At 40.4% G+C, this 18,402-nt stretch overlaps 2 pseudogenes; both read right to left on the reverse strand.

Annotated features, from left to right (window-relative positions):
* LOC729774 (SLX9 ribosome biogenesis factor pseudogene) lies at positions 268–966 on the reverse strand (annotated as a pseudogene).
* TERF1P2 (TERF1 pseudogene 2) lies at positions 14,961–17,778 on the reverse strand (annotated as a pseudogene).

Below are 18,402 nucleotides of genomic sequence, written 5' to 3' on the forward strand. Positions count from 1 at the left end.
CCGAGGCTGAAGCAAATCAGGGCAGCTGGTGGCACAGCTTGGGCCACACCCAGGCACAATTCCTTCCCAACACAGCCAGGAGGCTATCTTGGGGGCACCAGTGCCTGCACGGGGATGGACTTGGGGCCTCCACAACTGCAGTCCCCACAAACCCTGTGCACGGTCCACCCTGACTGCGTGGGGGCTGGGGCCCCCAGTGGAGGGATGTGGCTTGTTGTCCTGAGGAAAGCGGGGGCAGCTGTCCCAGGGTGGGCCCAGCCCTGTGAATCAGGGAGCAGCTCATGGGAACGGCCCTGGGGGTGCAGGGGAAGTTCACAGAGCCATTTATTGAACCCCACAACCGACCAGAAGGAAGGGCGTCCACCAGGCTCAGGCCATGGTCCTTGAGGGGCCGGTGCTCTCTACTTGGCCCACACATGTGTCCTGAGGAGTTGTGGCATGCCCACTGCCCTGGTCAGAGCTGGCCGCCATCTTCCAGCTGCATCTGCCGGGCCAGCGTCTGCCCGATGGCCACCAGGGTGCTGGCTCTGTAGGCCGGACTGGACAGCAGCTCCTGAAACCGGGTCCTTCCTTCCTCGAGAAGCTGCTGTCTCTGGGCTGCGCTCATCCGGCTGAGCTCTGAGGGCCAGGGCTTGTTGCTCTCCCTGCTGCAGGCTTGGCGCCGGCTGCCAGCCTCGAGCCCCAGCAGCTCGGGCAGGGCATCCCTGAGCGGGTGCAGGTGCCCCACCACCACCGTGGCCCTCCGCCTCCGCTCCTCCCTGTGCTTCTGCTCAGCCAGTTTTATGGCTTCGATTTTCTGCAAGCATTGCTCACGTCTCAGCTTCATTTTCTCCTTCTTGGGCAAAACGGTCTTGGCCTCTGCACCTCTCCTGATGGAAGTGACGCTCCTCACATCCAGCTCCAGCTTCTGCACCAAGGCGCTGGGGTCTATCTTGGTCCTGGCAAAGATGTTGGTGTTGATGAACGGAGGTATAATTCTTATTAGCCCTGTTTTTATAGATGAAGACAATGAAAGAGCTATTGCAAACTTATAACTGAGAAAGAGATCTGACCTAACCAACTCCATCTGCTTTTAACCTCCAAGCTGTCCTTGTTCATTCCTGGGTGTAGGGTGAACTAACTTTGGGAGGAACTTACTTTATAGTGTGAAACAAAGATATTAACACCCCTTTCTCAAAACAAACCTCCTTCTTTCCTGGGGACTAGACTGCCTTTGTAAGACTAACAAATTAGCTACAAAATTAGAAATTGTGGTTTAGGAGTCATGCAGCTGGAGGCTACAAGATTCTAATCCTCCCTAAACTGCTCCTAAGATCAGTGCTTGAGGTATTTTGCAGACCCGGCACTTGATGGATCAGCTGGCGCCCAGTTTATTGAAACACTCAGATCGATAAACTGGCTCATCTGATCTTGTGGCCCCCACCCAGGAACGGACTCAGTGAACGAGGACAACTTCAATTCCCTATGATTTTATCTCTGACCTAACCAATCAGCACTCTGGACTCACTGGCCTTCCTCCATGCACCAAATTATCCTTAAAAACTCTGAAAGCTCTGGGAGATGGATTTGAGAAATAATGAATCTCCAGTCTCCTGTACAGCTGGCTCTGTGTGAATTCACTCTTTCTCTATTGCAATTCCCATCTTGATTAATTGGCTCTGTCTAGGCAGTGGCCAAGGTAAACCCACTGGACATTTACAACACTGAGGCACAGACAGGTTGAGTGACCAACCCAGAGTTTCACAGGACACAGTAGAGTCAGGATTTGAACACAGACATTCTGACTCCAGAGTCTATGCCCTTAACCACAACTGATACTAATTCACTTATGTTTTTTGTCCATGTTTTCATTTATTTTCTTTAATCTACAGTAAAACTTTGATTTTTACACTGGCTGAGGATGAAGTAAGAATGTTGCAAATAGAAAAATGTTAATTGAAAGACACAATTTATCTTATTCTATCACCAAAAATGATCAGGCCTATTTTGACCATGAATCTCGCAAGCTGTGCTCTCTAAACTTTTGGATGAGAGGGTGTGGGCTCAGAGTCTGGGAACGCTCTCTCCCTCACTCCCTCTACTAAGTAGGTTCCATGCTCTATTCAAGTTTGAGAGACTCTGCTTGGTTGGGGCCTGCATTTATGTTACTCCTATTCTTTATACTTGGCACATCACAGACCGTGAAAAAATAATCTGGTGGAAATGGCAACTTTGGATTTTTAATCTCAGTTGTTAAAATTTTTCCAAATGAGAACACTTGGACACAGGGCAGGGAACATCACACCATAGGGCCTGTTGTGGGGTGGGGGGAGGGGGGAGGGAGAGCATTAGGAGAAATACCTAAGGTAAATGACAAGTTAATGGGTGCAGCAAACCAACATGGCACATGTATACCTATGTAACAAACCCGCATGTTGTGCACATGTACCATAGAACTTAAAGTATAATTAAAAAATTAAAAATTTAAAAAAATTTCCAAATATATTTATCTTTTGAATAATCTAAGGCCCTTATCCCCCTAAGGTTTACATGGCATAGTTCATACTGCTTTTACTTTTCAAAGCCGTTAATCTTTTGTAATAACATTTTGTATCCAGTTATGTTCCTTTGCTTAGTTTTCAACTTTGTTATTCTCCAAGCTGATTTTATTAATTAACGCAGAGAGAGTCAGGAGCATCTGAATTAATTAGGTGATAGTGAACTAGGAGGAAATCACAGGCCTCAGTGTGAGATAAATCTGGATTTAAATCCTGGCTCTAACTCAGTCCATGACCTTGAGGAGGTCAGGTGGGTTCACTGGGCTCAGTTTCCAAATCTCTAAAATGGAGATGACAAAATCCACCTCACAGAATTGTTGAAAGGACAATTACATGTTTGAGAACATGTTACTGTAGTGTCTATAACCTATCAAGTGTATAGCAAATGATGATGATGATGATGCTAATTTAAAAAATATCTATTGAAGGTCCCAGAAGTTTTACTTTAACATGTTGATTTTTGTCCCATGGAAAGGCATATGATTTGGTGGAAAATATAACCCCAAATGTTATTATGCATTGCTCTGTAAGATATTAACAAGTTTTATATATAACCCAAATATCTTAACATTTTAAAATTAAATGGTCTATAAATACCTAGCTCCTCAAATATTGTTTGAACTGGTCTTAATATCTAATTGTTTCCCCACCTAATTAATGAGTTGAACAAAATCCTTGCCATATATTCATATTATATTTGCATCAGTGTCCTAATTATATCGTTTGAAATTATACTTTAGCAATAAGAATAAAAGTCATAATCAAAATGTTAGCACTTAACATGAGAATGAGTCTATCAGTCAGAGTTTAGTCAAGAAAAACTGGTTGCTCTAGATAATCCAAATTAAAAAGGTTTAATGCAGATGTCAAGAAGCCTATACAACCATTGGAAGACTAGGGGAAGCTGAGGTCAATGAAGCCACGGTGGACAACCTCAGCTCAGCTCCCAGCTGAACAGTTTCCTGTTCATTGTCCATTGTCCTTGAACTTCTAGATATTTCTCTTCAACCATCACAGTCTGCAGCGATGAAGGGAGTGGCTTTCTGGTGGAGCCTCTTAGAATCTCATGGCTGTCCACATTTCTGCCTTTAACCCCCTTTAGCCTGTCATTCGTTTCAGCCTTCCAAATCTTCAGCAAGGGAAGGGACTTCTTGGTAAACCAACCTGTAACCATATGGGAAGGGCATTCTGCAAATATAGCTCCCAACTTTTCTGAAAGACAGAGGAACCCTTAGAAGGGAGAGTTGGTGATGCCAAATTGGCAATAAATAACCCAGGACTGCAGCTCAGCTCAGCACCTAACTCCATAGGGCACTCACTCACTTCAGGAAGGGTGCATTTACTCAGTAAGACAGATTAAAGGATCACTTGGTTCATATGGACTCAGACAAAAGTGGGCTAAGTGATCTTTAAACAGATTTGACCAAGCTGAGAAATACCAAAGACTTATGATTTTTCAATCAGAAAACACAGCATGGAATAGCAGAAAGAGTACCAGACTGGAAGCCAGAGAACCTGGAATCCAGCTCAGCCTATACTGAACTTGCTAGCTGGGGAAGCCCTCAGGGCGGTCACTTCACCTCTCTGTAATTCAAGTTTTGTCTTCTATGAAACAAGGAAAATAGTATCTGTCATGCCTCAGAGAATCACCACAAGGTTAACATATGTGGAAATATTTTAAAGTGTACAAACACCATATCAACATTAAAGTCCCCATATGAACATGAAGACCTAAGGTTTTCTTGGTTTAGTCTGAAGAAGCTTCCAACACAAGGCTGGATTAGGAAAGATGAAAATGAAATAAAAGTTGGACCGGGACTGGGCGCAGTGGCTCACGCCTGTAATCCCAGCACTTTGGGAGGCCAAGGCGGGCAGATCCTGAGGTTAAGAGATTGAGACAAGCCTGGCCAACATGGTGAAACACCGTCTCTACTAAAAATACAAAAATTAGCTGGGCATGGTGGCAAGTGCCTGTAATCCCAGCTACTCAGGAGACTGAGGTAGGAGAATCACTTGAACCTGGGAGGCGGAGGTTGCAGTGAGCCAAGATCACACCATTCCACTCCAGCCTGGGTGACAAGAGCAAAACTCCATCTCAAAAAAAAAGTTGGACTGGGAGCCTTACAGAGTTCACACATATTTGTAACATTCTTCAGATGTCATGTGCACAAATTGGAGTTATTAGTCCAATATTTATAAAGAAAAATCATATTTTGAATGTAGCCAAATAACTTCCTAATTAAAATGATATGATCCTTAGAAGGTTTTTGGGGAGGAGGTAATGGAGAGAGGATCAGAATTAGGAGGATCAAAGTAGAATGCATATACTTGAAAGTAAATATAAGGCCAGGTGCGGTGGCTCACGCCTGTAATCCCAGCACTTTGGGAGGCCGAGGCAGGCGGATCACCTGAGGTCAGGAGTTCAAGACCAGCCTGACCAACATGGAGAAAACCCGTCTCTACTAAAAATACAAAATTAGCCGGTCATGGTGGCGCATCCCTGTAATCCCAGCTACTCAGGAGGCTGAGGCAGGAGAATTGCTTGAACCCGGGAGGTGGATTGCAGTGAGCTGAAATCGGGCCATTGCACTCCAGCCTGGGCAACAAAAGCGAAACTCCATCTCAAAAGAAAAGAAAAGAAAAGAAAAGAAATATAATATTTGGCCAAAGAAAAATAAAAGCTCTACCTAATCAGTCTGCAGAAATGCCTAGAAAATAAACCATCTTCTAAGTATATCAGCAATTTTAAAGACGATAAAGTATGAGGAAGGGGGGGAGTTGTCTATGAGAAAAAGTATATAATTTTACAACATTTTATGTTTATTAAAAGGGAGCATGGGTTAAAACCACCATGAGAATTAGGTCATCAAACCATGAACAATAGACTAATATTCCCCCAAAATTCCTACGTTGAAATTCTAATTCCCAATATGATGGCATTAGGAGATGGAGCCTTTCATAAGTGATTAGTGATTCATGAATTGGTGAATGAGATTAGTGCTCTTATCAAAGACATGCAAGAGATCCACTGCAAGAGAAATCAATTGCAGGAGAAGACACAGCGAGAAGACAGCCATTGTCTGTGAACCAGGAAATGGTCTCACCAGATATGGATTCTGATAGTGACTTAATCTCAGCTTTCCAAGCCTCTAGTAGTGTAAGAAATAAATTTATGTTGTTTATAACCTACCCAGTTTATGGCATTTTTGTAACAAAAATTTCTGTAACAGCCTAAATGGACTAAGATACCATCTCTAAGTAGAACAGTCATCCTAAAGTAGTTACAACACAACAAAAACAAGGGGAAGACTTAATTGAAAAATTTCATTCATGAGATGTAATAAACCAGGTGAATTTAGTAATGGGAAATGATTCTGCGAGGGACTTTTAGCATTCTCACCCTCCAGAAGCATGTCAGAAAAATCTAGCACATTATTCCCTGGGTGGGACAGATTTGGGAGAATGCATGCTACCTTATCAGCTCTCTGTCCCTCCCTGGGAGACTGATGCTTCCCAATGCACAACTCAATTCAAAGCAGCAATGTACTCTGAAATTTCATCTCTTTCTTTCTTCTTTCTCTTTCTTTCTTTCTTTTTTCTTTCTTTCTTTTCTTTCTCTTTCTTTCTTTCTTTCTCTTCCTTCCTTCCTTCCTTTCTTCCTTTCTTTCTTTTCTCTTTCTCTTTTTTCTTTCTTTTTTTCCTTCCTTCCTTCCTTCCTTCTCTTTTTCTTCTTCCTGAGACAGGTTCTCACTCTGTTGCCCAGGCTGGAGTGCAGTGGCATGATTATAGCTCATTTCAGCCTTGAACTCCTGGCCTCAAACTATCCTCCCACCTCTGCCTCCTGAGTAGCTGGGTCTACAGGCATCCACCACCGTGCTTGGTTAATTTTTTAAAGTGTTTGTAGAGATAAGGTCTCACTCTCTTGCACAGGTTGGTCTTGAACTCTTGGCCTCAAGTGATCTTCCCACCTCAGCCTCCCAAAGTGTTGGGATTATAGGTGTGAGTCACCGTGCTCAACCCAGAAAGTATTTTTATGTAAAAATAAATTATGCAATGGCATTTTATGAACTTCAAAGAAAAATACTTTATTTGTGTTGTTCTCATATCTGAGAATAAAAATGATTAATTTTCTAAATAAAACATTCTGTTATTTTACAACTTTTCTCAAAATGGAAGGGTTTAAATTGTGATTAAAAGTAGTAGGTAGAGTGTACACTTATGTTCATAGCAGCATTACTTACAATAGTCAAGATTAGAAACTACTCAAGTGTTCATCTACAGATGAATTGAAACAAAATTTGTATATATATATATATATATGAATATTATTCAGCCTTAAAAGGGAATGAAACTCTGACACAATACTACAACATGGAGGCATCTTGCAGATATGCTAAGTAAAATAAGCAAGCCACAAAAAGACAAATACTATGAGTCCACTTACATGAAGTGTCTAAAGTAATAAAATGCATAGAAATGGAAAGTAGAATTATGGTTGCCAGGAGCTGAGGAGAGGGGAAAATGAGGAGTTGTTTAATGGGGATAGAGTTTCAGTTGTGACAGATGGAAAAGTTCTGGACACTGATTACACAACAATGTAATTCACTTAACACTATTGAACTGCACACTTAAAAATGGTTAAGATGGTGAATTTTATGTTATGTGTATTTTACCACTATTTTAAAAATTAGTTGAAAAATAGTAGGCCAAAATTTGTTTCTAACTATGGCTTCCCACCGCCATTTAGGGGGAGTTTTGTTGTGAAATTTTAGGCGATTTACTTTGTCAAATTTTACTGAGTCATGGGTTTGTTTTCCCATGGAAAAATTACTAAAATAAGGGCATGTGGAAATACATAACACTTAAGTCACTTCCAGGAGAGGGATTGCAAAGGTGTGTCCATAAGACTTTTGACTTTGATGAGATAAAAGCTAGGCTGCCTTTTCTTCCTTCTCACTGCATCCCATCTCCTAGGGCCAGCCTGTTCCTCAAAAGAGTGAAAAACATAGGAAAATTACTGCCTTAACTATCCTGATCTTCATTTTTTTTCCTGTGTAAAATGAAGACATTAATAAACAATGCCTTTCTTGTTAGAAATGTAAAGGTCAAACATAAAGAAACGTGAAATCCTAAGTCCTGCATGCCTTCTACCACTGGTCTAGTCACGTGTGCCAGCTGAACATTCCCTGGGCTGCAAGTGATGTGACTGATGGTTTTATTCCTGGTTTTCCCAGGGAGAAATCTAGACACAGAAATCCTGAAAAATGCCTCTGCGGAAAGGTGGATCCAAAGTGGTTCTTCTAAGGGAAGCTGCAGAATGTTTCTCCCTCAGCCTATAGCTTGACAGAATGCTAAGATATCAAGATGAAACTCTGAAAACCCGAGGATTTTTCATGGATTTCATTATTCTATTGAAGACCTACAAAAAAAAGTGGCTGATAAATATATTTTTAGAAATTGCTTTAGTATGATTTTTATTAATTTAAATTAACATTTATTTAATTAACTACATAAAATCTGTGTATAAAAGAGGCAAAAGATTATTCTTGCTCTCAGCCAGACAGTTGCTGATAAGGTAGTTTCGACAGGAATCTCACAGAAGAAGAGGGCCCTGACTCAACAACCATCAATATGGTTGGAATGTGGTATTTGCTCTTCCTGGAAACAATGCTTCCCACTTATAGAGTTTATATTCAATGTGGTGTTAATACATAGACCTCATCCAACTATCTCTCTGTGAAATCTGAGTTCCTACTCAAGTCAATATCCTGTAATATGCTAAACAAAAAACCTCCTGTATTAGTTTCCTGAGGCCACTGTAACAAAGTACCACAAACTGGGTGGCTTAAACAACAAGGATGTATTCTCTCACTGTTGTGAAGGTCAGAAGTCCAAAATCAAGGTGTTAGCAGGGACACCCTTCCTTGGAAGGTTGCAATCCTTCCTTGCCTCTTTCATCTTCTTCTGGGCCTTTGCATTTCTTGGTCTGTGGCAGGATAACTCCAATCTCTGCCAGAGGTTACAAATGGCCTTATACCCTGTGTCTCTGTATTTTTCCCTCTTCTCATACAGACACCAGTCATTACACTAGATTTTTGTATGCACTGTAAATCCAGGGTGGTTTTATCCCAGAATCCTTTTTATATCCCAAATATATCTACAAAGATTCTCTTTTCAAATAAGGTCACATTCTGATGTTCCAGGTTGGAATGCTCTGAATGTTTGCGTACCCCCAAAATTCCTATGTTCAAACTTTTTTTTTTTTTGAGACAGAGTCTTGCTGTTACCTGGGCTGTAGTACAGTGGCACCATCTCAGCTCACTGCAACCTCTGCCTCCTGGGTTCAAGTGGTTCTCCTGCCTCAGCCTCCCTAGTAGCTGGGATTACAGGTGCGTGCCACCACGCCCAGTACTTTTAGTAGAGACAGGGTTTCACCATGTTGGCCAGGCTGGTCTCGAACTCCTGACCTCAGGTGATTCATCCGCCTCAGCCTCCCAAAGTACTGGGATTACAGGCATGAGCCACCATGCCCAGCCCATGTGTTGAAACTTAATCCCCAATATGAGAGTGTTAAGAGATGTGGCTTTTTTTAGGGGGGGGGGTGATTAAGCCATGAACACAGATTCCTCATGAATTGGATTAATACCCTATAAAAGAGGCTTCAGGGACCTTGGTCAACCTTTCTGCCATGTGAGGACGCAGCGAGAAGGCACCATCTATGAAGCAGTGAGTAAACCTCCACCAAACATTGAATAGGAAGTCATCTTGATCTTGCACTTCCCAGCCTCCAGAACTATGAGCAATAAATTTTCTTTTGTTTATAAATTACCTAGTCTATGGTATTTTTGTTATAGCAGCTCAAAAGAACTAAGACACAGATGCGTATAAATTTAGGGAAAAATTATTCAACCCACTATACCTCTTTCCCTTTCACTAATTCCTATTTGATTAATGGTGCCTGTGGTTTATTTAGTGACAACCATATCTATGGTCAATATGTGAGATTCTCAGAAAAGGAAATGTAGCCATCAGCAGCCAACAGAAAGTGGGAGGCAATGGAAAACCTACCTCATTCCCCATGTTAGAGAAAAAAAATCAATACATGAAGACATGAAATAATGCTTTGTGGGTCTGTTTTCTTGTAGCTTCTGTATATGTCAATCTTTTATGCTCAGCTTTCTTCATATCTTATTTTTTAATTTTAGTATAAAAATAAATGTTTTATTGCCTTCAATTTACCATTATTATTTTTTACATCAGTTGTTCTTCGTGTGTGTGTATGTGTTGGATTTACTTTTCTGGAGTGTGAATACATGTGGTATGTGTGTATGTGTGTGACCTAAATAAGTTTTTCTCCTGAAAAGAAAACAACATCAACATTTAAAGATGAGGTTAACAGAACTCACTTTATTAAATGCCTGCTATGTGTCCAGGCCTTGAGCTAAGGAATAAGAACAATGATGAATAAAGGCCATCCCTGCTCTCAAGGTGTTTGTAGACTACAAAGGAGCCTGCAACCTTGCAGCAAAACAAAAAAGTAAAGAAACACAAACCACGGAACATGTTGCACTCAACAGAGGTTCATTCTCACCCATTGTGAAGATGCTGGGAGTAACTGGAACTTTGTTGAAGAAAACAGGGAGATCATTTCTGTTTTGTCTGTGTAGCACCGTGACTGCCTAGCACCATGGAGAAAGGGACCCCCTTTCAGAGCACAAACTCTGACCACAGAGGCCCTTGGTCTATCCTTTGTTTTACTCTAAACTTTTCTCAAAATAATCATGGATGAAGCTGGAAACCATCATTCTAAGAAAACTAACACAGGAACATAAAACCAAATATCGCATGTTCTCACTCACAAGTGGGAACTGAACAATGAGATCACATGGACACAAGGAGGGGAACATCACACAATGGGGCCTATTATGGGGTGAGGGGCTAGGAGAGTGATGGCATTAGGAGAAATACCTAACATAGATGATGTGTTGATGGGTGCAGCAAACCACCAAGGCATGTGTATACCTATGTAACAAACCTGCACATTCTGCACATGTATCCCAGAACTTAAAGTATAATAAATAAATAAATAAATAACCCTTTGTGAATCTGTACTTCTGGAGAAAAACCCACACAACTCTGGGACATTAGTATGCATCACAAGTAAGATTTTAAAAATAATGTAAAAAGTGTTATTTCTGTTTTTGTTACCTTGTCATTAAATAAGGTTTCTATCTTCCTTGACCTCTCAAGATCAGTGATTTAGCTACATGTAAATGCCTTCTTGCATTGGATTCTTCCCATAAACCAGACTCCTCATTTCTCTCGTGGATTGGGCCTTCTATGACTGCACTTATATAGCTGCTTCAGAATAGAAAGCTACTTTCTCTCTTAGCAAGGTATGGCTTTTCCAATGTCCCCTCTTGCTTTGCCAAGTTGAGTTCCAAAGATGTGTTAAATCTCAGCTAAATCAGTGTATTTGCCTTTCCTGCTTATGGCATTAATTGCACTTTACCCGTGCTATTATTTTCCATTTAACTTCTTAGACTTCCTAATTCCTTCGTGTATTCTGGGATACCATTTGGATATGGAGATATTATGCAAATGATGTAGAAAGGGAATGAACTTCAGCACTCCAGGTCAGAGTTACTTGGCTACTTTTAAGTATTTTTTGCACCTTATTTTTTGGTCCTTGGGAACCTTGGACAATAAGCTGTTATCCACTTACATTTCTGAATTATACTTACATGAATCTGGTGCCAGAGAAAGTTCTATGGTAAAGAATTAAAAGCAATGATCCCACTGTTTACAATCAGAGCTGGTGACTAACGAGGGTGCCTCTACTGACTCCTATCCCTGTTGCTAATCTTCCTCAGAGGAGTAAAGTTCATTGAGACTGAGTATCTTCCAGACTCCTATTTTCTTCCACATAAAACTATATATTTTGTGAAAAAATTGGATCAGGGATTTTACTCTCTCAGGCATTAACTAGTAATTCACTTTAAGAAAAGTGCAAGGAGAGGGGACAGAATGAAAATTGTAAGCTACCCTTTGGATGGGCTTATGAAAGGCCCATTTACTCACAGACTATAAGAAATGGAATGTGTATATTATCAAAAAGCAAACTGGAATCAGCCATGAAGTTGTGAATGTAAAAGAGTGGATTCTCCATCTTATTGTGTTTTTCCTTTTAACTTAAGAGCCAATTTTGCTAAGGAAGCCAAAATCCCTGTCTGCCTGGCCCATCATACTCGGATGTATGTAGAAGGTAGACAGACAAGGCACATGACAATGGCACAGATGCTTTTGGGTTTATGTCTGTCAAAGGGGGAGAAATTGTTCTTTTAAGATCCAGATTTTGAAGGCAAATAAACAAAAATTTCAGTCCCAAACCCACCTCCTCTTCATTGTGTGGTCTTTAGTAAGTTTCTGAAAATGTTTAAGCTTGGCTTTGTCAGCTAGAAAGTGGCAATAATCATTTAACCCATAAGTACCAGGTCCTGGCTGGATCAGTTGGCATGCTAAAAAAAGGATAACTGAAGAGGGTTTAATCAAGAGTTCATTCAGGGTATGGACAAAGCTAAGGAACCCACTAGAAGCAGTGACGCACCCAGGGACTAGAGGTGGTGAAGGCCATTCCTACCATCAGTCCTGTAGGGATGGGGGAGGTGGGAGCTCTTATCAGAGCACTGGGGAACCTGCACATGGGAGATACTACCCAGCAAGAGCTGCTTCAGTGAGGGATGCTGCCACCGCCACTGCCACATCACTGCCAGGCCAGGTGGGGGTGGAATAAACCCCACTAAGGCTCTTTCCTCTTGCTCTCCAATCCCATGGCAATGTGCTCCATTGGCTGCACTTGACATAAAGTCAGAGGACAAAGGAAGAGAGTGGCCAAGGAGGTGAGCTTCCTTTGCACAAAATCAGGTTAGAAAAGGATGAAGAGTGGATATGGAGGAGCAAATAGATAATTTTCAGCATCTCTCTGTATTAGATGACTGTTGTTTGCCCAGTATCCCTTCTTTTGAGTAAATGCTATGCCTCGCTCCATAAAACTTGAATGAGGCTGAAATAACATTTACCCCTCTCCAATGACCAGGACCAGAGAACTTCATCACCCTACCCTCTAGCAAATCAATCAAATTCAAATTTGAGATTTAATACAGGGTTTCTGGAAAATAGATAATCTCTTTTTCATCTGGATTATGAGCCATAAGGATGTAGACTTGGGGCAAGCAACAGTCATCTTTCCAGTTATACAGAAAGAACTAGCCTGACAGCAAAGACAATGCAAAAAGAGCACAGAAGAGTCCAGGAATAGGGAGAAAGAGGCAGGTCCATGGTGACTTTGTTTGAGGCCCTTTGTTTAATTATATCTAAAGGCAGTTATGCTTTTTAACATTTCAGTAATATGCTTTTTAATATCCTATTTTGGAAGAGTGGAAAAAGTTAATAAGGAAATGTGAAGCACCCAGAGGTTAGCAACAACAGAAAGTCTCTATGATATCAGAAATGGAGCACAAAGGGAGGCAATGGCACTACGGGATTCTCTGAGTTGGGGCCTCAGTAGGACCTGGAATCATGGAGAAGGAACTGCTTAGGAAATGCCAAGGCTGCCAAGCTGGAAGCATGGCAAAGACTGCACAACAGGAACCGAAACCAGAGAAGAGATGCTACCTCAAGTACAGAGAGTGAGAAGAAATAGTCTGGCTTCTCCTTCCCTTCCACCCTTTGGATGCCTGCTCCTCTGCCTTCACTTAGCTAAACCTAATTGTGAGACTAACATTCAGAGCTGAGCAGAAAAAGGGGCAGGGTATGGCTTTCAGAGCAAATGAGTAATACACGTGGTCAGGACATATTCATTCTGCTTTCCTCTTTCCTTCCAAAATGCATTCCAAACTTTAGTGAAGGATACACAATTTTTTTCTCAAATCTCAGAGAATGGGGGTCAGGTTATTTTCTGCTTAGAAACTTGAGTGGGTTACTACATAAGACAAGGCAATTTGGTCTGATATTCAAGTTCATTTAGACTATTGCCATAATTTATGGGCATGAAATAACATGATAGAAAAATGTAAAGGTAAATTGAAATCCAGTCACATTAGGCTACTTGCTCTTTTTTTTTTTTTTTTTTTTTTTTTTTTTGGGACGGAGTCTCGCTCTGTCGCCCAGGGCTGGAGTGCAGTGGCGGGATCTCGGCTCACTGCAAGCTCCGCCTCCCGGGTTCACGCCATTCTCCTGCCTCAGCCTCCCAAGTAGCTGGGACTACAGGCGCCCGCCACTACGCCCGGCTAATTTTTTGGATTTTTTAGTAGAGACGGGGTTTCACCGTTTTAGCCGGGATGGTCTCGATCTCCTGACCTCGTGATCCGCCCGCCTCGGCCTCCCAAAGTGCTGGGATTACAGGCGTGAGCCACCGCGCCCGGCCTGCTCTTTTTGATTAGAGTACATTTTCCTGCACTTGCTAATAATATTCCTTCTGCCAGGCTTACCATCTTCTTCCCCATTTTTCTTTACTGAGATTTTATCTTCACATCACAAATTAAGTGCTATTCCTTCAAGAAACATACTGGCTTGCCCAAACTTTGTTGTATCTCTCCCTTCTTAAACTCTTATATCATTCTCATGGCACTTAACACTTTAGATTTTGTGTTTTAGATATTGAAATTTCTATCATATGCTTTGATAATAGATTGTGATTTCTGCAAAGGCAAAGAGTGCTTTCCTCAACTTTGTATCCTTTGGGGTGGGTTTAAATGATCTCTTATACCTACTAGGTGTTTGATAAATGTTTGTTGTAGCAGATGAACACCTGAAACAGTAATTCAGAACCTTAGGTTCTAGTATTTTCTATGTCACATTAGTGTGACTTGCAGAATGGCTCAGCTTAGCTTTTCCTATGTATAATGATTTCAGACTAGATGAATTCCAGGGTCCCTCCTGGCCCTTTCAATTCCCTAATTTCAAGTAGAATTTAGAAGAAAAAATTTGTAAGCAGCAATTTTATAGTTCTATTATGGAATTTCTACTTGGGGAAAGCTAACATTTCATGATCTCATTCTTGCTGGATTCTTTCTCAAGATTTTCCATGGAGCTGAAATTTACCCATGACCTTGAGAAAGAAATGCACATGCTTCATGATCCTCACTCCACTTTCTTGTCCTTAATGCTTTTCCTCTGATGATTGCTCATTTCACACCCCAAAAGCAACTCATTTTATAAACCTTTTACAGCGCAGCAAGCAGTAAAGAATAAGAAATTACAAAATATTATATCCTATGAAGAAACACTCTCCTAATGCATCCACAAAGAATCAAGCTCATAATTGCTGGTTTGTCAATTATAATGGTAAAATATGTATTTATATAATACATATGATATGTTGGATGCTATTGGAGTGAGTTTGGCATATTTATTTATTTATTTTTTATGGTACTCATCCATGTTTCTGTTCATATATAGGATAACAAATTCAGAAACAATGGGAAAGTAATATATGAAACCTTAATAGAAAATACAATAGAGATTACAAAACACTACCATTTGATTTTTTATGCAAATACTTCAATATTCCAATATTTTTACTCACTTGCTAAATAAAGCACATGACTCGAAATGCTAAATAATTCTGTTAGTGTAAATCTTTTAGATAAAATGTTGGTGAAAAACCAAAATTGTTTGTAAGGTATGTATGACCTTGTTTATTATCTATCACAGACATCAAGATGATCATAGTTAATACCAATTTAAGCTTTATAGAATACTCTTTTAGGCCCAATATTGATATATTAAATGAAGGTATCAGAGAATCTTGTATTTATGGCATCAGGTTATAAAGATCTACTCAAAACCATTTTTGTCAAAGTTTAAGCACTGGAACAAAAGTCAAATTCTTTCTAAATGAGACACAAATGATTCTTGCTAATAGTACAAATTTTGTCCCATGGGCAATACTATTGTCTTTTTCTTTTTTAAAACAATTATTTCGATTTTTTTTTTAGATTCAGGGAACACATGGGCAGGTTTGTCAGCTGGGTGTACTGTGTGATGTTGAGGTTTAGGGTATGGATGATCCTGTCACCCAGGTAGTGAGCAGAGTCCCCAGTAGGTAGTTTTTCAGCTCTTGTTCCCGCTCCCCACCTACCTCCCCAGTGTCTGTTATTCCCATGGGTCCTCAGGTATTACTGTTTTCAAGTTTTTTTCTTTACATGAAACTACTGAAAGCGAAAGTATGTCATGCTTATAGGTTACTCTGTACATTTATCATTCTATTAATAAACATCTTAAGTAATTAAGTAGTATATTAAGGCCATAAACCAAGTCATTATCTCCTGTCAAAGGACTACTGTTATTCAATTGTCTAGAAAATTCATTTTAGGCAGGATGCAGTGGCTCACATCTGTAATCTCAGCACTTTGGGAGGCCGAGGTGGGTGGATCATGAAGTCAGGAGTTCGAGACCATCCTGACCAGCATGGTGAAACCCCGCCTCTACTAAAAATACAAAAATTAGCTGGGCATGGTGGTGTGTGCCTATAATCCCAGCTACTCAGGAGGCTGAGGCAGGAGAATTGCTTGAACCCAGGAGGCAGAGGTTGCAGTGAGCTGAAATTGTGCCATTGCATTCCAGCTTGGGTGACAGAGAGAAACTTTGTCTTAAAAAAAAGTAAAATTCATTTTAATGGATTATGTTACAGTGTTGAGGTCAGCCTACAGACACAAAATAGGTTAACTGAATTTTTTTTTCATAACAGGTTTTAATTTTTTCATTGGAACAGGTTTTGGGGGTGGGGATACTAAATGTGGCAGGGTTCAACAAACTTACATTTTATCAAAATAAAGTTCTTAAAGAATACAATGATAGCACATGCTTTAACTCTTACAGCACAAACCCTCATATTAATTGATGGTCACAGAAAAATACTGTAATGCTTTAAACAAAAGTTTTAAAATACATCAATGACACAAGTTTCAAACAAAATACAGTGATCAAAATACTTAACTGTCCTTTCATCAAGCTTTTACAAACACAATCAGTCTTCGCTGTCTGAGCAAATCAGTTTTAGTTTCTTCGTGGTCCTCCATCTGTCTTTTAATGTGACACTTGTCCGGTTGTTGAATTTATAATGCAATAGTATTTTAGACCAGTTTCCCTCTCCATATTTCCTCACGCCAGATCTCAAATTCTTGTCTTCTTCCTGAAGCCATGCCTGTCTTTTTCTAGCTTGATGTTTTTCAGGAGTTACCGGTTGACTCTTTGAAACAGGTATTCTGCTTTCAGTGGCTCTTCTGCTTTCTTTTTTCTTTTTTGTACTTTGAAGAGTTCCTACTCTTCTTTCTTTCTTATTAAGGTCTTGTTGCTGGGTCCCATGTTGCAACTTAGATAAGAAAAGATTCTTATGAGACCTTTTTCTTGTATCCAAACTAGCTTCAGTTTCCATTTCAACATAATTACCATTAAGTTTATCTTGAGAAGTTATTGTTCTTGTTCTTTTACTTTCTACTACTTTTGCTGCTGCCTTCATTAGAAAGGTTGATGATTTTTCACTTAGCACATAATTCACATAACTCTTAATTTTCTCCATCATGTGATTGTAGCTGAAGTGTTGAAAAAAGGAATGAAATGTATCTTTCTGAGAGATTATCATAAGCAATTTGCTTTTGAGAGGCATATAAGAATTTGGATCACCAAATAGTCTTTCAAAGACTTCTTCTGCTTCTTTAAAGTTGCCATTTTCCATACAAACAGCTATAGCCTGTATTTTAATTAAATTCTGTATTTCTTCTTGAAGTTTGTCATGTTTCTTTTCAATTGAACCCCAAATTATCAGGGCCGATTCCAAGGGTGTAATTCGTTCATCATTTTCAAACTGTGCATCAAGGGTTTTTCCTGCTGCAATTCTTGTCAAAAACTGACATATGTATATCGTTCTCAACTGGTAAGCTGTTAGACTGGATAGTCCATGAATAATAGCCTCTGCGCTGTTGCGGGTCCTGCAGAAGTCCTCAGAGCGGCCGTCGGGGAAAGCTCGGCAAAGAGAGAAACAGAGGAACTCGAGCATCCAGCCGGCAGCCACGGCCTCGGCCTCGGCCTCGGCCACCAGGCCCGCGTCCTCCTCCTCCTCCTCGGGGGCCCCCACCTGCACCTGGCACTTGAGCCGTTCCTGGCATTCGAACTGCTCCTCGTCGTTTCTCTCTGTTTCTGCCATCTGCTCCTCGGTAGGGTCGGCATCCCTACCATCCGCCGGCATATTTATTACAATTTATTTTTATGAAAAAAGATTAAAAAGAGATATGTCTGCTCTAAGCAGTTACGTGAAAATGGATAAATACAAAAGCAAGCACAAGAGTATTCAGTAGAGAATTCTGAGCCTGAACAATCAAGTTTCAGGCAAATCTTGTGTGGTTCATAATTTTAGCCCTTTATTATGCAAACCTGCCAATTCAATTTTCCAATGCAAGAACTGTTTGGGGTGATTATCAAGTTATATTTACTGTTCTGTGGATCTACTAAAAGATGCACTATCTTGAAAGAGTCTGTTCAAATTACCTTGGAACACACTTTTAGATCCTCTTTTGTAAGCAAAAGTTGACAGACTAAAATGTATTCTTTTTTAACTGGCATCAGCATGTGAGACTTTAGAAAAATTGGTAGAGCAAATAATGATTCTGTTGCAGAGCCAGACAAATAACTTCCAAATCAACAAATTCAAACAGAGAAAAAAAGTTGCTGATCTTAGATGAATTGCCACGTTGCCACTTCCTTTCACATGTGTCTTGGTAGAAAAACTCTCATATAGAATTTTTCCCACCCATCAGAAGAAAGTAGTTATTATCTCAATTTCCTATCTCCTCTTCTGCATCTCACC

This window comes from Homo sapiens, chromosome 18, assembly GCF_000001405.40.
Source record: "Homo sapiens chromosome 18, GRCh38.p14 Primary Assembly".
NCBI lineage: Eukaryota > Metazoa > Chordata > Mammalia > Primates > Hominidae > Homo > Homo sapiens.